Raw genomic sequence first — 24,378 nt, 5'->3', positions numbered from 1 at the left:
GAACTTTCATGACTTCGAGGAATTTGGAGATAATTGAACTACCAATTGATTGAAATGGGAGCTACAGTGACACAATCAGAGAATACTAAAGAGCAAAAAATAAATGCCAGGGATGAAGGGACAGAGACTTTTTTTGATAGGGATGTGTCAAGAGTAAGATTTCTGAAAGATCAGTGCCAGCCCTGGTTTTATTTAATATTCTTTTACAAGAGCTGGAAGAGGTGGGACTGGGGGGAGCAGAGAAAGCTCTGGGTTTGCAGATGAAAGGATGAGGGTTGGGCAAAGGATGACAGGAAAACAGAAAGATCTGAAGACTCTGTATCAGTGGGAAGGAAGGAGGGAGATGAGATCAAATGTGAGTAAGTTCAAGGCGATGTGTTTAAGAAAATGGGAGCTCTTGGAGACTGGCCCTGAGCACGCTGTCTCGGCAGAGTCACGGGCTCCAGACATCACCAAGAAGGATATTAAAAACATAATGGGAAGGTGGCTCTTTTCTTTTTTGAAACGGAGTGCTGCTCTGTCGTCCAGGCTGAAGTGCAATGGCACAATCTCGGCTCGCTGCAACCTCCGCCTTCCAGGTTCCAGCAATTCTCTCACCTCAGCCTCCCGAGTAGCTGGGATCACAGGCATGTGCCACCACGCCCGGCTAATTTTTATATTTTTAGTAGACACACGGGTTTCACCATGTTGGCCAGGCTGGTCTCGAACCCCTGACTTTCAAGTGATCTGCCTGCCTCGGCCTCCCAAAGTGCTGGGATTACAGGCGTGAGCCATCACGCCCAGCCGGAAGGTTGCTCATGTTTTCACACATTAACTTCATTAGCACACCTTCCCTCCAATACCCTGTGTTTGGGGAGATGTTCTGAGCCCTCGCTCAGTGAGGCACAGCAACACCAAGACTGGGAAGATGAATTGGGGGTGGGGGGTAGGGCGTTAAGAGGGGAGCCCGCTGTCAGCTAAGTGGGCCATCTGGCTTGTTCAGTGCTAATGGCCTTGTTACCTTCCAGAGGATGACCTCAAGAGAGGATAAAAGCCATAATGCTGCTATCAATTCCCAAGATGCTACTCTATCAACTCAAGTGGTAGATGACTGTGGTTTTCTCTTTAGAAGGCTGGTGTGCCATCAACGGTCCCCCATGCTTAGTGGCAATGTTTGTGAGCCACAAATGCTTAGGATGAGCTGCTTTATAAGGCTGCTTCCTATTCTTGTGCCCTGTAGTTCAGCACCCAGGGTCGATTTCCCTGTTGTTTAGATTTCTAGTGTGAGCTCATTGCATGAATGACCCAAAAGGACTCTCTGACCAGCTGCCTCTCCCAAATGAGCTCATTCTGCCTTTTGCACTCCTCCGCGTTCATCCATAAGGCTGGGTTTAAGAGCAATGCAGACTTGGCTTTTCAACAATATTATGTGTCATCTAAATAAATACATTCACTAGGGAACACATGCTAAATATGATATTCCCGTGAGTCACGAAACAGCTGTGCTGGCCTCACAGTGATAAATCTGTTCCATCAGTAATAAGGATGGGAGAAGAAGGGAGCTAGATCACATTTCAGAGTGGGTGATCGCAAAAGAGGCAGGACGTGGTTACCTGCAACAGACCTTCAGCACCACTACAGAGAGCACATTGGCCCCAAAGCATAGCACCCAAATAAAATCTGTCCAGAGCCCGTGGAACTCAATACAGATTTGAAATTAATGCAGAGAGAGAGAGACAGGCAGAGAACATTCTACAAAGAAGAATGGGTAGATTTCCCTTTGCTTTGATTCCTATTATGGTTGATCTTGTTTTTAAATTAGTTATTTATTTAATTAAATTCGTTAATTTTATTTTATTTTGTTGAGATGGAGTCTTGCTCTGTCACCCAGGCTGGAGTGCAGTGGTGCAATCTTGGCTCACTGCAACCTCTGCCCCTCAGGTTCAAGCGATTCTCCTGCCTCAGCCTCCTGAGTAGCTGGGATTACAGGCATATACTATCATGCCAGGCTAATTTTTGTATTTTCAGTAGATACGGGGTTTCACCATGTTGGCCAGGCTGGTCTCAAGCTCCTGACCTCAAGTCATAAGCCTGCCTCAGTCACCCAAAGTGCCGGGATTACACGTGTGAGCCACTGTGCCTGGCCATATATATATATATATATATATATATATTTTTTTTTTTTTTTTTTTTTTTTTTTTTTGAGACGGGGTTTTGTGCTGTCATCCAGGCTGGAGTGCAGTGGTGTGACATGGCTCACTGCAGCTTTGACTTCCTGCGGTCAAGCAATCCTCCCACCTCAGCCTCCGAAGTAGCTGGGACCACAGGTGTGCACCATCACACCTGGCTCATTTTTTATTTTTAGTAGAGACAAGATCTCACCATGTTGCCCAGGCTGGTCTTGAACTCCTGGGCTCAAGCAATCCTCCTGTTGTGGCCTCCCAAAGTGGTAAGATTATAGACATGAGCCACTGAGCCCAGCCCTATTTTTATTTTTTATTTATTAGTTTTTTTTTTTTTTGAGACAGGGTCTCACTGTGTTGCCCAGGCTTGAGTTCAGTGGTGAGATCATAGCTCAATGCAGCCTTGAACTCCTGAATTCAAGCAATCCTCCTGTCTCAGCCTCCCAAGTAGCTGGGACTATGGGCGTGCACCACTAATCCCAGGTCTAAGATGCTAAGACCCCCTCGATGCTTGGCTAATTTTATATTTTGTAGAGACAGAGTCTTGCTATGTTGCCCAGGCTGGAGTGGAGGGGTCCAGTCTTGGCTCACTGCAGCCTCTGCCTCCCAGGTTCAAGCAATTGTCGTGCCTCTGCCTCCTGAGTAGCTGGGATTACAAGGGTGTGCCATCACACTTGGCTAATTTTTGTATTTGTAGTAGACACAGGGTTTCACCATATTGGCCAGGCTGGTCTCGAACTCCTGACCTCAAGTGATGTTCCCACCTCCACCTCCCAAAGCATTGGGATTACAGGCATGAGCCACCACACTGAGCCCAGTTAGGATTTTAAAAGATAAATGAAATCCAACACACTTCCCACTCACACCCCCACCACCACCCCTGCTAAGTGCTAGGGATCTTGGGTTCATAAACAAATGAGCTAATATTTGCAAAGCCACTTTGCAAAATTTAGAGTGCTACTGGCGGAGCTTAGCTGTCATTATTACCATATAACTGACCCTTTTAGAGTTGTGGCTGTCTCTGTGGACCTGGTGTGACAGTTGTCAGGGACCGGGAAGAAGGTAAAAGAGCGTTAGAATAAAGTCTAAAGCTTCTTACTTTCAAATGTCAGAGGATTGTAAAGAATGACTCTTGCTGTGGCCATGTTCAATGAATTCAAAATTCTGGAGGCGGAAAAAAAGAAGTCTATTTCATGTGACTTTCTCCAAATGGCAAGTTAGTTCTGCATTTCCCTAACCTAATTAATAGGAGGCCACCTATGTCACCAGGGAGAGAGGCTCACTCTACATTACCCTATTTTCCCGCTGAGCCCCGTGGAAGTGAAAATTTTGGGAGGGAATCTTTAAATCACACTAATACATTGCCTATTTTCTTCAAACACATTTTCAAGAACACTTTGAGACCATCCCCTGGAGAGAACCACAGGCAAAAGGTATAAGGATATTATCTTCAGTTGTTTAGAGAAGAGTTTTGAGGGAGATTATCCCAACAGGGGTGTCACCTTCAAATCTTAATCCTTTTAGACCTCAACAAACAGCCTACAGGTTCCCCTTTTCATAAGTCCGAGAATGCCTCTGGCCAAAGTGGCCTAAGGACATTTCAGAAGGAACAGGCAGTCAAGAGACCAGGTCTAAGATGCCAAGACTCCACTGATGGTCCAGCTATTCCCATAGCCCTGGCTTTCAGTTTTTATCTTCGTGTCCGCTGCTCATGAACCTCTGAAATGCATCAGCCGCGGAGAATTACATGCAGAAGGCACTGTCTTCTAATAAAAAATCTGAAATTAAATCCTTGCGTACTTTGATAGCATCTTTCAAAAGCAAAATTGCCTGCTCAATTATCCAGATAGCTCTTCCTGCCTATACAGAGAAAAATGACACACAACAGTGAATACGCTTTATATTTTTAGAGGCGTGTACCATGGAATATCTGTTAGTGTAATTAATTTAATTGAGTCATACCTACCAAGAAATTATTTAATTATATTGCTAGTTGAATAGGTGATAATGATGATAGTAAACTAACATTCTTTTTTAAAAACATTCTATTTATCGCCAGGTGATAGGAAGAGATTGAGAGAGGGATGGAAATCATTACTGAGAAGGCTTGAACAACCACAATTTACTGCGAACAGATAAAAACCAAACACCTCAGCCGTATTATCACCATAATTGTCTGCAGTTTACCCATCTTGTAAAATAAACGGATCATGAAATGTGAGAGCACGTTTCAAAACATACATAGAAGGTGTTAGAGTGATTATGGGTAGGCTGCCTGACTTAATGGTGAATTGTTTTTCTTTCAGTGGGAAGTGAAAAGGTATTAATTAGTAGTGATTTTGACAAGATTGGAAGTCCACGAACTTTGGCTTAGAGAGAACTTTGCAAAGGCACCTACATGCTGCAAAGAGAGTTGTTGTTGTTGTTTTTAGCTTTTAATGGCATTTTGTTGTTTGCTAATCCCTGGTGCAGGCACACACTTGCAGATCTCAGATTTGATAAACGTTCGAGTGCCTCAAGTTTTAACACGAAGCTTTTCTCTCCTAACTCCAGGTGGCAAAGGCAAAAGCTGGACTGCATTGTGTGGCCCCAGGGAGCTGCAGACAGAGGAACTGAGTCCTGGCCACTGTGCCTGCTGTCTCTTACAAGTTTAGAGATGCTGGCATTGCATCGAAATCGGACAACACTCCCTTCCCTCCCTTCCCAGGTACTCCATTCCCAACCTTTTCCACCAACAGGTCCTTATTCTCAGAAGCCAAAAATAATTTATTGGTTTCCACTGTTCTCCTTGGCTGAATCTTCAAGTACACCAACTCCCCCCTCTTCTGGACAGACTCTCCATAATTCAGCCAGCATCTAATCAGCACCTTGCTTCTCTTCCATTCTTCCTTTCTCCAGAGTCATGATTCTTCCTTCTCAAGTCAAAGAGGAATTACAAGCAAATAGACACTATCCTTGAATGCAGTTTGGGTTACACAGAATGGGGAATGAACTCAATCTCATTTTTGCTTCTTTGTTGAAATAAGCTCAGTATCTCCCTTGCACAGAGATTGAATCGGCTTCACTAAGGCAAGCAGCATTTCCTCTTTTCTCCCAGTCAGCATCGCAGCTCTCTGCATTCCCCTCTCGCAGAGGTGACTATTCATTGTGTTCTTTCCAGGAATGTTTTCTGAGCTTCAGGAGGCCCTGAGTTACCTGGATAATTAGTGCTGTCCTTTTGCACAATGCAAAAACAAAACTATTATGAGATAATTTCTTTAGCTAAGTTGGGAATGGGGTTTAAATGCGTGGGCAAATAGATCTGGCAGTCAAATTCAGACTGTCATATTTTGTGATCCACCCTCCCACCGATCATAGCATATAAGACTCTGATGAACTTCACCAGCAACAGGGAATTCTCCCTCCACTGCAGATAAAACAATGACAATATGGAAGTGAAAAATGAATAATTCAAAAATGGAATTCTCTGTGGGGCTCCGTGCAGTGTGTGTTTCTGTGTGTGCATGTGTTTTATACAAGTCTCTGTTACTTTTGTAGTTTGGATTGGACTTCCGTCGGTCCATTAATTTTGTTACTGGATCCCACCACTTACCCAAAATTAGCCTTTGGGTTGGGTGTTTCTGCAGTATAGTCCCTTCTGTGGACACCAGAAAGATATTACAGGAAAGGGGTCCTGATCAAGACCCCCAGAGACGGTTCTTGGACCTGGTTGGGAGGCCGAGGATCACTTGAGGTCAGGAGTTCGAGACCAGCCTGACCAACATGGTGAAACCCCATCTCTACTAAAAATACAAAAATTAGCCAGGTGGGCCAGGCACGGTGGCTCACGCCTGTAATCACGCCTGTCATCACAGCACTTTGGGAGGCCGAGACAGGTGGATCACCTGAGTTCAGGAGTTCAAGACCAGGCTGGCCAACATGGTGAAACCCTGTCTATACTAAAAAAACAAACAAACAAACAAAAAAAAAAACAAAAATTAGCTAGTCATGGTGGCCTGCACCTGTAATCCCAGCTACTCAGGAGGCTGAGGCAGCAGAATCCCTTGAACCCAGGAGGCAGAGGTTGCAGTAAGCCAAGCTCTAGCCTGGGCGACAGAGCTAGACTCCATAAAAAAAAAAAAAAAAAAAAAAAAAAAAAAAAAAAAAGAAGAAGAAGAAGAAGAAAGAAAGAATTAATTCATTAATTCAGGATGAGCCCGTAAAGTGAAAGCAAATTTATTAAGAAAGTAAAGGAATAAAGAACGGCTGCTCCATAGACAGAGCAGCCCCAAGGGCAGCTGGTTGCCCATTTTTATGGTTATTTCTGGAAGATATGCTAAACAAGGGGTGGACTATTCAAGCCTCTCGTTTTTAGATCGTATAGGGGAACTTCCTGACGTTACCATGGCATTTGTAAACACTCATGATGCTGGTGGGAGAGTGTAGCAGTGAGAATGACCAGAGGTCACTCTTGTTGCCATCTTGGTTTTGGTGGGATTTGCCTGGCTTCTTTACTGCAACATATTTTATCAGCAAGGTCTTTATGTCCTGTATCTTGTGCTGACCTCCTGCCTCATCCTGTGACTTAGAATGCCTAACCATCTGGGAATGCAGCCCAGTAGGTCTCAGCCGCATTTTACCCAGTTCCTCTTCAAGATGGAGGTGCTCTGGTTCAAATGCCTCTGACAATTTCACGGATGGATTCCAGGGACCTGTGAGCAGTCTCTGGAAGTCTTTGGCTAGGTGTGGTGGCTGACCAGGAACTGTGGCCCACCTTGTAGTTCCCACACATGGGGAAGCAGACAGGTAGAGTGTAACCCACCAACCACTGCACACGCAGGAAACAGATCCCATGTCAGGACGCTTTGTAAGTGCTGCATGCTTCCAGACCAGTGGAGAGAACCCATCAGCACGTATCTGTAGCCTTTACTTTTGCAAGAACATATCGCCGCATTGTTTGGTAATTTAACATTTTTGACAAAAACAACTTGAAAGAGATGATGTTAAAAAATGCTGGCAGGGAGCACACAGGATTTTTAGGGTAGTGAAACCTCTCTGTATGATCCTACAATGTCATTAGACATTTGTCCAAACCCAGAGAAAACACACCACAACCAAGAGTGAACCCTAATGTAAACTCTGGACTCTGGGTGATGATGATGTACAGTGTAAGGTTCATCAATTTTTTCTGTAAACCAAAAATAAAATTCTAAGTCCTCCAGCCATCTAAATGGACCCCTCCTCTTGGCCAAGAGCATTCCAAAGCTAACCTGAAAAAACTAGTTCAGGCCATGTTGGAAAGAGAAAGCCAGACATGCCTCATTATCCCCTCCTCCCTTTTGGAATTGCTGATAAAACAGACTCTTTAAGTCTGACAAGAAACATTTACAATCTATTCTCTCTAAAGCCTGATATCTACAGGCTTCATTTGCAGGATAAAACATTGATCTGGGCCAGGTGCAGTGGCTCAGGCCTGTAATCCCAGCACTTTGGAAGGCCGAGGCGGGCGGATCACAAAGTCAAGAGATCGAGACCATCCTGGCCATCATGGTGAAACCCTGTCTCTACTAAAAATACAAAAATTAACTGGGCGTGCTGTCACGCACCTGTCATCCCAGCAACTTGGGAGGCTGAGGCAGGAGAATCGCTTGAACCCAGGAGGTGGAGGTTGCAGTGAGCTGAGATCGTGCCATTGCACTCCAGCCTGGCAACACAGCGAGACTCCATCTCAAAAAACAAAACAAAACAAAACAAAACCTTGGTCTCCACAACCCTTTATCATAACCCAGACATTCCTTTCTACGGATAATAACTCTTTCAACCAATTGCCAATCAGAAAAATTTTAAATCTACCTATGACCTGGACGCCCCTGTTTCCAAGTTGTCTCACCTTCGCATCCTGAACCATTGCATATCTTGCCTGTATTGACTGATGTCTCATGTCTGCCTATGATGTATAAACCAATTGTACCCTGACCAGGTTGAGCACATGTCATCAGGACCTCCTGAGGCTGGGTCATGGGTATGTCCTTAACCTGGGCAAAATAAACTTTCTAAATTGATTGAGACTTGTCTCAGAGACTCTTGGTTTCCATTACAAATGTGCCACGATGGCAGGAATGTTGATAGCGTGGGAGGCTGTGTGTGTGTTGGAGAGGCAGACAGTATATGGGAATTCTCTGTACCTTCTGCTCAATTTTGCTGTAAACCTAAAACCACCCTAAAAAATAAAGTCTGTTAAAAAAGCAAACACATCAACAAAACTACAGTGGGTCATCCCACCACAAATCTTTGATGAAATGAGTTCAACTTAACCTTTTTTTTTATTAGCCATGCCATAAAATTTAAGTGTATTTTTGTTCTATTTAATGAAAAAAAAAAAGATGCTGGCAGTGAATGAGGGACAGGAATGAAGGGCACGTATAACAGGTAAACCTTAGACGCTTGTCTAAAAATAATACCTACATCTCCCTTTTCAGCTTTAATTATTTTAACACCCCTTGTGAGCTGTCTGAGAGCTGAGATGTGAGCATTCTCAGGAGCCTCTCTGCAGCCCCTGACACTTGGTTTTTTCTTTATTTAGAGCCGACATCAGGAGAGGAAGAGAAATGGGAAACTGAGGGCCAGGAGGGAATTTGGGAACATTTTCAAATCCACCTACAGCTGTCAGCAGGACGCCGGCTCCCTAAACAGCTGTGGGTACAAAGGATCCTGAAATCCACTCCAAAAACTTAGATCTCCCTCCCAGCTGCTTTGCAGGGCTCGGGGAGTTAATGATGAAGTTCTTCCTTATGTCGAGCGCAGAGCTCCAGCCTTCTGATTGGATGAGTGCTGAAGATTAGAAAACGGCTTCTTCGGAGGAACTCCAGAGACATACTGCTGAGAAAATGAAGTCAGCCATTCACGAGAATATACCGTATGATTTGGCGTGATTCTGTAGGGTTTCTGCACTTTAATCCCTTTGTGATCGCCGTAAATATGTTACAGGAAAGGGGTCCAGATCCAGACCCCAAGAGAGGGTTCTCGGATCTCGCGCAAGAAAGAATTCAGGGCTAGTCCGTAGTGCAAAGTGAAAGCAAGTTTATTAAGAAAGTAAAGGAATAAAGAACGGCTGCTCCATAGACGGAGCAGCCCCGAGGGCTGCTGGTTGCCCATTTTTATGGTTATTTCTGGATGATATTCTAAACAAGGGGTGGATTATTCATGCCTCCCCCTTTTAGACCATACAGGGCAGCATCCTGACGTTGCCATGGCATTTGTAAACTGTCCCGGTGCTGGTGGGAGTGTAGCAGTGAGGACGGCCAGAGGTCACTCTCGTGGCCACTTTGGTTTTGGTGGGTTTTGGCCGGCTCCGTCACTGCAAGCTGCTTTATCAGCAAGGTATTTATGGCCCATATTTTGTGCTGACCTCCTATCTCATCCTGTGACTTAGAATGCCTTAACCATCTAGGAATGCAGCCCAGTTGGTCTCAGCCTCATTTTACCCAGCTCCTATTTAAGATGGAGTTGCTTTCATTCACACACGTCTGACAATTCCTTCTTGCAAAAGACAAAACGCAGGCCATGCATGCTGGCTCATGCCTGTAATCCCAGCACTTTAGGAGGTTAAGAAGGGAGGGAGGTTTAAGGTCAGGAGATCCAGACAAGTCTGGGAAACACAACGTGAAAGGAAAATAAATCTTGGGGCCCCCAAATCACTAAGCTAAAGGAAAAAGTCAAGCTGGGAACTGCTTAGGGCAAACCTGCCTCCCATTCGACTCAATGTCATTCCTCTGTTCACTGAGATGAATGCGTATCTGAATGCCTCCTTTGGAGAGGCTCATCTGAAACTCAGTAGAATACAACCAATTGTACCTGGAAGCCCCCTCCCTACTTTGAGTCATCTGGCCTTTTCTGGACTGAACCAATGTTCATCCTACATTTGTTGATTGATGTCTCACATCTCCCTAAAATGTATAAAACCAAGCTGTGGTCTGACCACCTTGGGCACATGTTACCAGGACCTCCTGAGGCCGTGTCATGGGCTCGCATCCTTAACTTTGGCAAAACAAACTTCCTAAATGGACTGAGACCTGTCTCAGACTTTTGGGTTTCACAATAGTGAGACCCCATCTCTGCAAAAAAATAAAAGAGATTAGCTAGGTGTCACGGCACACGCCTGTAGACCCAGCTACCTGGGAGGCTGAGGCCGGAGGGTCACTTGAGCCCAGGAGTTCAAAGCTGCAGTGAGCTGTGATTGCACCACTGCACTGCAGCCTGGGCAAGACAGAGCAAGACTGTCTCAAAACAAAACAAAAAAACCATACAATCAATGGTGGTAGATATCACAATAGTGTTTTTTCTTTGCTGGGGCTGCCACTGAGAGGAAATTTCTGGGATGCTAGATTCTATACCCTTCTCTGGAGGAATTCACTCTGTAAAGATTCATCATGCTGTATCCTTGAGAGGTGGGAATTCGCCATATGTGGGTTACATCTCATTAAGTTATGCCTCTAGATGATCTTGATCTCCTTCTTTATCTAGCTCATATACAATGACAAATGTGGAACATACAGAAACATATAGGGAATGGTGGGTTAAATGCTGCGTACTCACAATTCGACTTTTACAAGCCTTAACATTTTGCTGTTTCCTCCAAATTTTTTCTTGTCTTTTAAAGAAATACAACATCACAGGTAGTAATCGAAAGCCTGGATGTCTCTGTTTCTGATCACACTGTTTGCTCTCCCTCTCCAGAGGTAACCATCATCTTGCGTTTAGTATTTTTCATTTTCATTTATGTTTTTATACCTTCCCAACATATATATTTTATGTAGCCATCAAAGATACATTGTGTTGTTTTGCAGGCTTTTAAACTTTATATGAATGGCATCGTAGAGTTGGAACTCAGCAACTCGCTTTTTCGGGCAAGAGATTTTGTTCTGAGAATTATCCATGTGGATTCACGTAGCTCTATTTCCTTCATTTTAACTACTATATAGTGCTCCATCGCACAAATACACTGTAATTTATTTATCCATTCTCCTAAAGATATTTAAGTTGAGTGACAAAGACTACTGGTTGCTTCCCAAATACTTTTTCCCTCCTTTAGTAACAGATACGCAAAGCAACAATGTGCCCAGCTAAAAGCCTACATTTCTTTACCTCTTTTGCTTCCAGGTGTGGCTACACATATATTCTGGTCACCACAATATAAACAGAACTTTCAGGGGAGGATATATGAGAGCGCTTCTCCAAAGAGGGACAGACTGGGGCATTCGCTTTTGCTCTTCCTCCCTCCCTCGCCCTCTTCTGTTGATTGGAATGTGGATTTGATAGCTGGAGCTCCAGCAGCCACATTAGACCATGCAGTGATGCTGAGGATGAAGCCTCCCTCCTCAGTACGACAGAGCAGGAAGACAGAAGGAAACCAGGTCCCTGGTGACTTTGTGGAGCCTTCATCCCAGCCTTGGATTGATTGATTGATTGATTGATTGATTGATTTTATTTATTTTTTTGAGACGGAGTCTCACTTTGTTGCCCAGGCTGGAGTGCAGTGGTGTGATCTTGGCTCACTGCAACCTCCACCTGCTGGGTTCAAGCAATTCCCTGCCTCAGCCTCCTGAGTAGCTGGGATTACAGGCACCCACCAACACACCCAGCTAATTTTTGTATTTTTAGTAGAGATGGGGTTTCACCATGTTGGCCAGGCTGGTCTCGAACTCCTGATCTCAATCCACCTGCCTTGGGCTCCCAAAGGGGTGGGATTACAGGCGTGAGCCACTGCACCAGGCCTCAACTTTTTTTTTTAACTTGAGAGAATAAACCTTTCTAGAGATACACTTCCATCACTAGCAGCTGAACATTATGTTATCATTACTGACAGAGCATTTGGGAATTATTAGAAACAATAATGCAATGGACTTTCTTGGACCTGTGTTACTATGAAGCTGTGTAGGAGCTCCTACAGCGCATGGTGACACAGTAAGAAATATATATTTGGTCTTCCTATGGTTCCTGACACAGAGCTTCTAAAATCCTTGCAATTTCCTGAGTGATAGCGGTAGTGGAGCTTCTTTCGTTATTTATGACAAACTTCTTTCAACCATACCTGAGTTCATGCTAATAAGGTGACTCTTGGTGGGCCCCTAGATAGCTTCAGGATGGGGGCTGGTCGTCAGAAGAGCCAACCCTGTGATTAGAGGGTGGGAACTTTCAGCCTCACTCCCCCAGCCCCCCACTCACCTTGAGAGGGGAGAGGGACTGGAGATTGAGCTAATCATCGATAGCCAAAGATTTACCTATCATGCACATGTAATGGGACCTCCATAAAAACCCTAAAGGATGATGTTCAGAGAGCTTCTGGGTAGATGGACACATGGAGGTGCTGGGAGGATGGTGGGCCTAGAAGAGGGCTGGAAGCTCCACGCCGCTCCCCATACCCCACCCTCGGCACCTCTTCCACTTGGCTATTTCTGAGTCTTATCCATTTTTTTTTTTTCCAGACAGGGCTTCACTCTGTTGCCCAGGCTTTAGTGCAGTGGCATAATCATAACTCACTGCAGCCTCTGCCACTCAAGCTCAAGTGATCCTCCCACCTCAGCCTCCCAAGTAGCTGGGACCACAGTCCCACACCACCATGCCCAGGTAATTTTTTTTTTACTCTTTTGTAGAGAAGGGATCTTGCTATGTTGCCTAGGCTGGCCTCCAACTCCTGGGATTAAGTGATCCTTGCACCTCAGCCTCCCAAGTAGCTGGGACTACAGGTGCATGCCACCGTGCCTGGCTAATTTTTGTATTTTAGTAGAGATGGGGTTTCGCCATGTTGCCCAGGCTGGTCTCAAACTCCTGGGCTCAAGAGATCTGCCCACCTCGGCCTCCAAAATTCTGGGATAACAGGTGTGAGCCACTGTGCCCAGACTCTTTTTTTATTGTTATTTAATTGAATAGTGACAGGTCTTGCTATGTTGCCCAGGCTAGTCTTGAACTTTGAGTTCCAACAGTCCTCTGGCCTTGGCCTTCCAAAGCACATATAACATTTTTAATAAGCTTTGAAAGTTCCTTGATAAACCATCTTGGGATTGAATTCAATTTATAAATTAATTGGAGAGAATTAGTCTATCCTACTACTATAATTATTATATTATTATGTATAATTATAGATTATATCATATTATGTTGGAAGAGAATTTATTATATTAAGGATTCCCAAGCTCGTACAGGCATACCTCAGAGATATCATAGGTTCAGTTCCAGGCCACCTCAATAAAACAAGTCATGCAAATGTTTTGGTTTCCCAGTGCAGACAAAATTTGTTTACCCTATATTATAGTCTATTAAGTGCACAATAGAATTTTAGAATATATATATATGTATATTTAAAAAACCAGTGAACATGTCTTAATTAAAAAATATTTTGTTGGCCCAGTATGGTGGTTCATGCCTGTAATCCCAGCACTTTGGGAGGCTGAGGCAGGTGGATTACTTGAGGTCAGGAGTTCAAGGCCAGCCTGGCCAACATGGTAAAACCACATCTCTACTAAAAATAAAAAAAATTATCTGGGCATGGTGACGTGCATCTGTAGTGCCAGCTACTCGGGAGGCTGAGGCAGGAGAATTGCTTGCACCTGGGTGGTGGAGGCTGCAGTGAGCCAAGATCATGCCACTGCACTCCAGCCTGGGTGACAGAGTGAGACTCCATCTAAACAAACAAACAAACAAAAACTTTGTTGCTAAAAGGTGCTAATGATCATCCGAGCCTTAATCAAGTCATAATCTCTTTGCTGGTGGAGAGTCTGGCTTCGATGTTGATGGCTGCTGACTGAGCAGGGTGGTGGTTGCTGAAGGCTGGGCTGGCTGTGGCAATTTATTAAAATAAGACCGCAATGAAGTTTGCTGCCTTGATGGACTCTTCCTTTCACAAAAAATTACTGCGTAGCATATGGTGCTGTTTGATAGTGTTTTACCCATTGTCGAACTTCTTTCAAAATTGGAGCCAATCCTCTCAAACTCTGCTGCTGCTTTATCAACTAAGTTTATGTTGAGTTTATTCATGATACTGTGCTATTAATAAATCCTCTGTTGTCATTTCAACAAAGTTTACAGTGTTGGGACTCAGAAAACAATACTCCAAGATGAGGGCCTCAGAAGCAAAAGGTTTTTCTCTGCCCTCCTGCCTGTCTTTTAGTCCCATTCTCCCCAGAGGCACCACAAAAACTAGAATCCCTCTTCCCCAAAGCAGGTCATAGAAACCAGAACCCCTTTTTCCCCCAAGCCAGCCATAAAACCAGAAAAAGATTACTTAACTTTCCCTCTGCCCTATCTGTGTAAAAAAAGGTGGATCAGATAAAGAAATTATCTGATCTACCTTTTTAGACTGTAGGTCGTAAGAGTCCCATTCCAGAAAGTGTCCTGCCCCCTAAGGAATTCACTCTCAGAGAGGCCTAGAAGAATCTAGACAGATAGGTCTCGCTGGCTTTCTCCACTAAGTCTATTACCATTAGATCACACACTTTTTGTCCAATCATGTTTCTACATGGCTGTGCATACTTTGTTGAATGTAAGCATGAAAATGGACGCCAGGTGCGCTGGCTCACACCTGTAATCGCAGCACTTTGGGAGGCCAAGGTGGGTGGATCACCTGAGGTTAGGAGTTCGAGACCAGCCTGGCCAACATGGTGAAATCCTGTCTCTAAAGTTAGCCGGGCACGGTGGCAGACGCCTATAATCCCAGCTACTCAGGAGGCTGAGGCAGGAGAATCACTTGAACCCGGGAGGTGGAGGTTGCAGTGAGCCAAGATCATGCCATTGCACTCCAGCCTGGGTGATAAGAGTGAGACTCTGTCTCAAAAAAAGAAAAAAGAAAAGAAAACAGACAATTTTCCCTGTATCTTTAGGTCTTCATTCTAAAAGTTTCCTTGTATACAATTAAAATAAATGTGCATGTCTTTTCTCCAGTTAATCTGCCTTTTGAGAGGTGATTTTTTCAGTGAACCATCACAGAGCCAAGGAGAACTCTCTTCTTAGCTCCTACAACAATGTCTTCATCAGGAGTAGGTTCCATTTTAAGAAATCACTTTCTTTGCTCATCCATAGGGAACAACTCTTCATCCACTAATGCATCCAACAAAGGTGTAGCATCCAGAATTTGTAGGAAATTTAAACAATTTCAACAAGCAAAAACAAACAACACCATTGAAAAGTGGGCAAAGGATGTGAACAGACACTTTTTGGGTATTTCTTGTTAGACTGGGTCTCACTCTCTTGCTCAGGCTGGAGTGCAGTGGTGCAATCACGGCTCACTGCAGCCTCAACCTCCTGGGCTCAAGCGATCCTCCCACCTGTCTCGTAAGTAGCTCGGATCACAGGAGTGCACCACCACACCTGGCTAATTTTTCATTTTTTGTAAAGGCAAGGTCTCCCTATGTTGCCCCGGTTGGTCTCAAACTCCTCAAGGTTCAAGGCTCAAGTGATCCTCCTGACTTGGCCTCCCAAAGTGCTGGGATTACAGGTGTGAGCCACCACACCTGGCCAACAGACACTTCTCAAAAGAAGACATACAAACGGCCAACAAACATGAAAAAATGCTTAACGTCACTGACCATCAGATAAATGCAAATCAAAATCACAATGAGATACCATCTCACACCAGTCAGAATGGCTATTACTAAAAAGTCAAAAAATAACAGATGCTGGTGAGGCTGCACAGAAGAGAGAACGCTTTATACATTGTTGGTGGGCATGTGAATTAGTTCAGCCACTGTGAAAAGCAGTTACGAGATTTCTTAAAGAACTTAAAACGAGCTACCATTCAACTTAGTAATCTCTTTACTGGATATAAACCCAAAGGAAAATAAATCATTTTACCAAAAAGACACACACACTTGTATGTTCACTGCAGCACTATTTGCAATAGCAAAGACATGGAGTCAACCTAGGTGCCCATCAATGGCAGATTGGATAAAGAAAACGTGGTGCATCTACACCATGGAATACTACCCAGCCATAAAAAAATGAAATTATGTCCTTTGCAGCAACATGGATGCAGCTGAAAGTCATTATCCTAAGCAAATTGTACAGGAACAGAAAGCCAAACACTGCATGTTCTCACTTATAAGTGGGAGCTAAGCATTGGGTAAACATGGGCATAAAGATGGAAACAACAGACATGGGAAACTACCAGAGATGGGAGAGAGGGAGGACAGCAAGGGCTGAAAAACTACCTACTGGGTACTATGCTTACTACCTGAGTGACAGGATCATTCACACCCCAAACCCCAGCATCATGCAGTTGCACATGTACCTCCTGAATCTAAAATAAAAGTCTAAAATTATTTTTGTAACAAAGTTTGATCATGAGATTGCAGCAATTCCATCACATCTTCAGGCTCCACTTCTAATTCTAGTTCTTTTGCTATTTCCACCACATCTGCAATTCTAGTTCTCTTGCTATTTCTACCACATCTGTATCTAGTTCTCTTGCTATTTCCACCACGGATCTGCACTTGTAATGGCAAAACAGCAGTTACTTTTGCACCAGCCAAATACTTACTCCAGTAAAGTCTTGAACCATTTAAAGTCCTCAATGAGGGATGGAATCAACTTCTTCCAAACTTCCATTAATGTTGCTATTTTAATTTCTTCCCATGAATACTGAGTGTACTTAATAGCCATGGAATCATGAACCTTTTCCAGATTTTCAGTTGATTTTGCCCAGATCCATTGGAGGAATCACCATCTATGGCAGCTACGGTCTCACTCAATGTATTTCTTAAATAATAAGACTTGAAAATCAAAATTACACCTTGATCCATGGGCTGCAAAATGGATGTTGTGTTAGCAGGCATGAAAACAACATTCGTCTTACTGTATATCTCCATTAGAGCTCTCAGGTAACAAGGTGCATTGTCAATGAGCAGTAATATTTTGAAAGAAATCTTTTTTTTATAAGCAATTGGTCTCAAAAACGGGTTTAACATATTCAGTAAAACATGCTGTAGGCTGGGCGCAGTGGCTCACGCCTGTAATCCCAGCACTTTGGGAGGCCAAGGAGGGTGGATCACGAGGTCAGGAGATTGAGACCATCCCGGATAACACGGTGAAACCCCGTCTCTACTAAAAAATACAAAAAATTAGCTGGGCGTGGTGGTGGGCGCCTGTAGTCCCAGCTACTTGGGAGGCTGAGGCAGGAGGATGGCGTGAACCCAGGAGGCGGAGCTTGCAATGAGCCGGGATTGCACCACTGCACTCTAGCCTGGGTGACAGAGCGAGACTCCATCTCAAAAAGAAAAAAAAAAAAATGCTGTAAACAGATGTGCTGTCTTTGAGGCTTTTCTGTTCCATGTACAGAGCCCAGACAGAGTAGATATAGCATCATTCTTAAGGACCCCAGGATTTTCAGGATTGACTTCAACTTAAAGTCCCCAGCTGCATTAGCCCCTAACAAGAGAGCCAGCCTGTCCTTTGAAACTTTGAAGCCAGGCATTGACTTCTCCTCTGTAGCTATGAAAGTCCTGGATGGCATCTTCTTTCAATGAAAGGCTGTTTTCTCTACACTGCAAATCTGTTGGTTGGTGTAACCACTTTAATCAGTGATTCTAGCTAGATCTTCTTGAGAACTTGCTGCAGCTTCTCCATCAGCATCTGCTGCTGCTTCAACTTGCACTTTTTTTTTTTTTTTTTTTTTTTTTTTTTTTGAGGCAGAGTCTCACTCTGTCGCCCAGGCTGGAGTGCAGTGGTGTGATGTCGGTTCACTGCAACTTCTGCCTCCTGGGTTCAAGCAGTTCTCCTGCCTCAGCCTCCTGAGGAGCTGGGATTACAGGCGTGTGTCACCACACCTGGCTAATTTTTGTATTTTTAGTAGAGACAGGGTTTCACCATGTTGGTCAGGCTGATCTCGAACTCCTGACCTCTTGATCCACCCACCTCAACCTCCCAAAGTGCTGGGATTACAGGTGTGAGCCACCGTGCCTGGCACCTTGCACTTTTATGTTATGGAGACAGCTTCTTTCCTTAAACCTCATGAACCAACCTCTACTCACTTCCAGCTTTTTTTTTCTGCAGCTTCTTCACCTCTCCATCTTCATAGAATTGAAGACAGTTAGGGCCTTGCTCTGGGTTAGGAATTGTCTTAAAGGAATGTTGTGGCTGGTTTGATCTTCTATCCAGGCCACTCAGATTTTCTCCATATCAGCAATAAGGCTGTTTCCCTGTCTTATCATTCCTGTGTTCACTGGAGCGGCATTTTTAATTTCCTTCAAGAGAGGAAGGAAATTTTCCTTTGCATTCACAACTTGGCTACCTTGTGCAAGGGGCCAAGCTTTCAGCCCGTCTTGGCGTTCAGCACACCTTCCTCACTAAGCTCAATCATTTCTAGCTTTTCATTTTGAGTGAGAGATGTGTGACTCTTCCTTTCACTTGCGCACTTAGAGGCCATTGTAGGGTTATTAATTGGCCTAATTTCAACATTGTTGTTTCTCAGGGGAGAGGGAGGCCCAATGAGAGGGAGAGAGACAGGGAAAGGCCAGTTGGTGGGGCAGTCAGAACATGAACAACATGTACAGAGTATGTTTGCTGTCATATGGGCGTGGTTTTTGGTGCCCCAAAACAATTACAATAGTAACATCAAAGATCCCTGATCGGGCCAGATGCAGTGGCTCACACCTGTAATCCCAGCACTTTGGGAGGCCGAGGCAGATGAATCATTTGAGCTCAAGAGTTTGAGACCAGCTTGACCAATATGGCGAAACCCTGTCTCTACTAAAAATACAAAAATTAGCCAGGCATGGTGGTGGGCACCTGTAATCCCAGCTACTTGGGAGGCTGAGGCAGGAGAATCACTTGAACCCGAGATGCGGAGGTTGCAGTGAGCAGAGACTGTGGCACTGCACTCCAGCCTGGGTGACAGAGTGAGACTCCATCTCAAAAAATAAAAAATAAAAAATCACTGATCATGGATTATTATAACACATAATAATAATGAAAAAGTTCAAAATATTGGGGAAATTACCAAACTGTGACAGCGACACAAAGTGAGCAAATGCTGTTGGAAAAGTGACTCAAATAGACTTGCTTCATGCAGGGTTGCCACAAATCTTCAATTTGTAAAAATGCAGTATCCACAAAACACAATAAAGCAAAGTACAACAAGACCAGGTATGCTTGATATAATTTCTGGATGCTTTTAAAAATATTTTTTTCTGATCATGTTTTATACTGTTCTTTATAAAGTTCTTTTAAAGTAGATACATTCACAGTTGGTGTAAATACTTTTTTTTTTTTTTGAGACATAATTTCACTCTTGTCGCCCAGGCTGGAGTGCAGTGGCATGATCTCAGCTCACTGCAACCCCAGTCTCCTGGGTTCAAGCCATTCTCCTGTCTCTGCCTCCTGAGTAGCTGGGATTACAGGCCCATGCCACCACGCCCAGCTAATTTTTGTATTTTTAGTACAGATGGGGCTTCATCATATTGCTCAGACTGGTCTTGAACTCCTGATCTCAAGTGGTCCACTCGCCTTGCCCTCCCAAAGTGCTGGGATTACAGGTGTGAACCACTGCGCCCGGCCATAAATACTTTCGGTGGCTGTTGTGTGTGTTTTTCCTTTAATACCTTCATGTGTGTTTTCCTTCTATTACACTTTCTAAGTGGTTTCTATTGCTATGGAGGGATGCTTTTGACTTGGTGTTTTGATTTTACGTCCAGAACATTAACTCTCTTGCTAGAGTGAGATTTACCTTCATTTCCTGGTTGGCTCAGCAGAGTCCTGGCTTTTACCGGTTGTCCTGGCGTCCCATTTCGTCTAGCATTTGTCCCAGCATTTTTTTTTTTTTCTCGAGACTTAATCTCGCTCTGTCACCCAGGCTGGAGTGCAGTGGCGCAATCTCGGCTCACTGCAAACTCCACCTCCCAGGTTCAAGCTATTCTCATGCCTCAGCCTCCTGAGTAGCTGGGATTACAGGTGCCCTCCACCACGCCTGACTAATTTTTGTATTTTTAGTAGAGATGGGGTTTCATCATGTTGGCCAGGCTGATCTTGAACACCTGACCTCAAGTGATCCTCCCACCTTGGCCTCCCAAAGTGCTGGGATTACAGGCGTGAGCCACTGTATCTGGCTCCAGATTTCTCATTTTTAGTGAAGTGACATGATTATTATTATTTTGAGACAAGTTCTTGCTCTCTCACCCAGGCTAGGGTGCAGTGGTGCAATCTTGACACACTGCAGCCTCAAACTCTTGGGCTCAAGCAAAACTCCCACCTCAGGATCTTGAGTAGCTGGGATGAGCGGCATGGGCCATGATGTCCTGCTAATTTTTGTATTTTTTGTGGAGATGACGTTTCGCCATGTTGCCCAGACTGGTCTCGAACTCCTGAGCTTAAGCCATTCCCCAACCCTGGCCTCCTAAAGTGCTGAGATTGCAGGCATGAGCCACCGTTCCAGTGATATTATTGGCACCTGCATTTACATAAACCAGGATGCATTTGGTAAAGCTCCTCTTTGAAATTCCTGCTTCTGGCCCAGCCTCATCTAGGTCTAGTGTGAGATCTGTGCGGAGTAAAGAAAGTTGCCACTTTAACACATAGTTTGATGTGAAAGACAGCCAACAGCTAACCTGCCTTTTCCTGACAGTTACTCTGTGTAATTGAAACCTTTGTTTCCAGCGTGACAGGCAGAGCCCCAGCTGATAGAACAAAGGTGCTAGGACCTTCTCTCCTGGTGGCACCATGAGGCTCTGGTTTGGGCTTCCTGATTATACTAACTTTATCAAGTTCTTTCAATACCTTCCCCCCTTTTTCTAGTCTCTGAAACTGTTTTCATAAAATGAGGGCTTTCTATTCTTCAAAGCTTTGTTGTAACTTGCCTGGAAAACAATCTGTCTTTTGTCTGTGTGTATGGTGGGGGCGAGGGGTGGGGGAGGTGTGGGAGTGGTTGTGGGAGAACTTTTGATTGCCAGTTCAATTTCTTTAATAGTTGTTGATTTATTTCATATTTAAAAGATCTTCTTGGCTCTATTTTTTATTTTATTTTATTTTGCTCTGTCGCCTAGGCTGGAGTGCAATGGCATGATCTCAGCTCACTGCAACCTCTGACTGATCTCAGCTCACTGCAACCTCTCTGCCTCCTGGGTTCAAGTGATTCTCCTGCCTCAGCCTCCCGAGTAGCTGGGATTACAGGCGTGTGTCACCATGCCTGACTAATTTTCTTTGTGTTTTTAGTAGAGACAGGGTTTCACCATGTTGGCCAGGCTGGTCTCAAACTCCTGACCTAAGGTGATTCACCCGCCTTGGCCTCCCAAACTGCTGGGAGATTTTATTTTTTGAAACAGGGTCTTGGTCTGTTGTCCAGGCTGGAGTGCAGTGGGGTGATCATAGCTCACTGCAGCCTTGAACTCCTCGGCCCCATCGGTCTTCCCACTTCAGCCTCTTGAGTACACCTCCCAAACACAGCGGTACACCACCACACCCAGCAACTTTTTTGATTTTTTGTAGAGATGGGGGTCTCACTATGTTGCCCAGGCTGTGGGTCCATTTTAGTAGTCTTTTTCTATAAAATTATTCATTTCATCTAAGTTTTCAAATTTGTTAGCATAAAGGTATTCATTGCATTCTCCTAATTAAAAAAAAAAAAACTCAACTGCATCTGTTTTTATTTATTATTGCTATTATTATTATTTTGAGATAGAGTCTCACTCTGTCACCCAGGCTGGAGTGCAGTAGTGCATTCTCGGCTCACGGCAACCTCTGCCTCCCGGGTTCAAGCGATTCTCCTGCTCAGCCTCCTGAGTAGCTGGGATTACAGGCACGCACCACCACGCCCGGCTAATTTTTGTATTTGTAGTAGAGACGGGGTTTCACCATGTTTGTCAGGCTGGCCTCAAACTCCTGATTTCGTGATCCACCTGCCTTGGCCTCCCAAAGTGCTGGGATTACAGGCGTGAGCCACGGTGCCTGGCCCTATTCCTGCTATTATTTATGCCTTTGTACCCCTCTTTAAAAGTCAATCTTGCTAGAGGCTTGTTTGCTTTCTTTGTTTGACTAAAAAGTCAGATTTTAAAAATCCTTTCTCCTTTATCTTGGTTTTCTATTTTACTATTTTCAGGAATGTTCATTTTTTTCTCTGTTAAAATACAAAAATTGCAGTCATTCATTGCATTTGTTAATGTATTTCCTGGATTTTTGTGCTGCCTCTTGTTTCTTTCGTCTTTGTTCACTTTTTTCACTTTCCTCTGACAGTGAGCACCTGCTCATAAGAAACTCTCTTATTTGTTGTATATCTGAAAATGTCTCGGTTTTGTCTTTACTGCTGAATGATAGTTTAGCTGGATATAGAATCTCAGGAAAGGCATTTGTAAGGAAATGTTTGTCATTGTGCTTATCGCATTTAATAATTATATACATTGTGTGATTATATTTTGTCTTCCAGCAGAATGATTTTTGTTTGTTTTGTTCACTGTGTATCCCTGTCCCCGGAGCAATGCCAGGCACATCATAGTCACTCTGTAAATAGGTGTTGAATAAATGAATGTGCAAGTCAGTGAATTCCTCACTAGGCTGTCTGTTCTCCGAGGGCAAAGTCAGCTTCTTCCTGTTCCGGGCTGAGTTCCAGTGTTTTTTCTGATGAAGTAGGAACTAGATAAACATTTGTTGTAGAAATAAATGAATTCACCCAAGATCTAAAATAAAATAATAGGAATACTACTCTTAGAAACTAGTGCCTTTTGAAGAGGCAATCTTCTGATCTTCTAGGTCTACATTTTCTTAATTTTTTTTCCCCCACTGGAATTAGTAACAAGGGAACTGCAGGGGCAGACTGTGGGCTTTCATGAGAGCAAAGCCCTCTTTTCAAATATCTGTTCTAAGGAGGATCAGCTTTCCAGCTTAACTGGGAGGCTGGCTGAGTCCTCATTTCTAAACAGATGGCAACACATCATTGCTGGTGGCTCCTTTAAGGCAGAAAGGCTGTCAAATCAGCAAAGATGACTTCCAGATACAGCCTGCACAGAGAGGCATGGCGACTGATAAAATATTCATTAGTGACTGCTGTGGTTGCAGGGAGGGCCTGTGCTGCAGGGAGGCCTGTGCACAGAGCCAGCTGAGGTCCCAGTGTGAGGAAGTGCATTAGGGTTTTGCAGTAAGGCCCATTTAGGAAGGAGGCAGGGGCCTTTGAGGCCTATTGTGCCTGAGAGCACTAATGCCCTTCGATCTGGCCATTTATAAAAGAGAAGGAACCATTAGGTCTCGGAAAAGATGCCTGGCCTGCACCATTTAGAGGACACAGGGGTCACCTATGTGTCAACGAAGTGAAAAGGTCATTCATAAAGCCTTCAGTCTGTCAGCCCTAGAACCCAACTCATCATTTCTGGGTTGACCACCATGCTCCTCCACTGTCTGGTTATGTATGACAACTCTCAACTGGACATACGGTCACATGTGTATAGTCCCAGCAGTCCCAACTCTGGGCTCGTTTTGTGGACACAGATGGCCCTCTGTCCCCCTCCAATAGCCCCCTTTAGATTGGATAAGGGAAATCATGTAGCAGCCATCTTTGGCCAGTTGGTGACAGGGCTACAATGCTTGTCTCTGCCCTGGGTCACTCACAGGACCACACAGTTTATTGACAGCAAATTTTGGGAGGGATCACAAAAAGAGGAGAAAAACAAGTCTCGGCACAGTGGCTCACACCTGTAATCCTAGCGCTTTGGGAGACTAAAGCGGGAGAATTGCTTGAGCCAGCTCAAGACCAGCCTGGGCAATATAGGGAGAACTCCATCTCTACAAATTTTTTTTTTTTAAATTAGGTGGTTGTGGTGGCACATGCCTGTAGTCTCACATATTGGAGAGGCTGAGGAAAGAGAATCACTTGAGCTCAGGAGTGAAGGCTTGAGCAAGGCTTCAGTGAGCTATGATTGCACCACTGCACTCCAGTCTGGGCAACAGAGCAAGACCCTGTCCTCCTACCCCCTAAAAAAAGAAAAGGAAAAAGGAGTTTTAAAGATGCCAAAACTAATGCATTACCAAGATTTTTAAAAAACATATTTTCCTTGGCTATTGGAGAACAAGCCTTTTTGCAAATCACGTCTCCTTTAGCCATGACGTTGACTCTGAAACATAGAAATATAAACAGAGAGAGAGAGACATTCCTTCCAAGTACTGGTTTAGAGACAGGCAGAACACAGTTGCTGAAAGAAAAGAGGAAAAATCAGAATCAGAAAAGCACATTATTTTTTTGAGGCATCAAAGTAGGTTTTCCAAACAAAAT

At 44.2% G+C, this 24,378-nt stretch overlaps 1 long non-coding RNA gene across 4 annotated transcripts in view; it reads left to right on the top strand.

Annotated features, from left to right (window-relative positions):
- The window catches only part of SDK1-AS1 (SDK1 antisense RNA 1), a 108,539-nt gene that overhangs the window by 82,581 nt on the left and 1,580 nt on the right, over positions 1-24,378 (top strand). Inside the window, exons 2-3 of one of the 4 annotated variants that reach the window (XR_001744898.3) lie at positions 4,716-4,869; positions 8,725-11,559. This is a non-coding gene — a long non-coding RNA (SDK1 antisense RNA 1). Of the gene's footprint in view, positions 1-4,715; positions 8,392-8,724; positions 11,560-24,378 lie in introns of those variants that run through there. The other 3 variants (XR_001744897.3, XR_007060194.1, XR_926997.4) reach the window with 3 other exon arrangements.

The sequence above is a fragment of the Homo sapiens genome, chromosome 7 (assembly GCF_000001405.40).
Source record: "Homo sapiens chromosome 7, GRCh38.p14 Primary Assembly".
In the NCBI taxonomy this organism is placed as follows: domain Eukaryota; kingdom Metazoa; phylum Chordata; class Mammalia; order Primates; family Hominidae; genus Homo; species Homo sapiens.
This window is presented reverse-complemented; position numbering and strand designations above follow the sequence as displayed.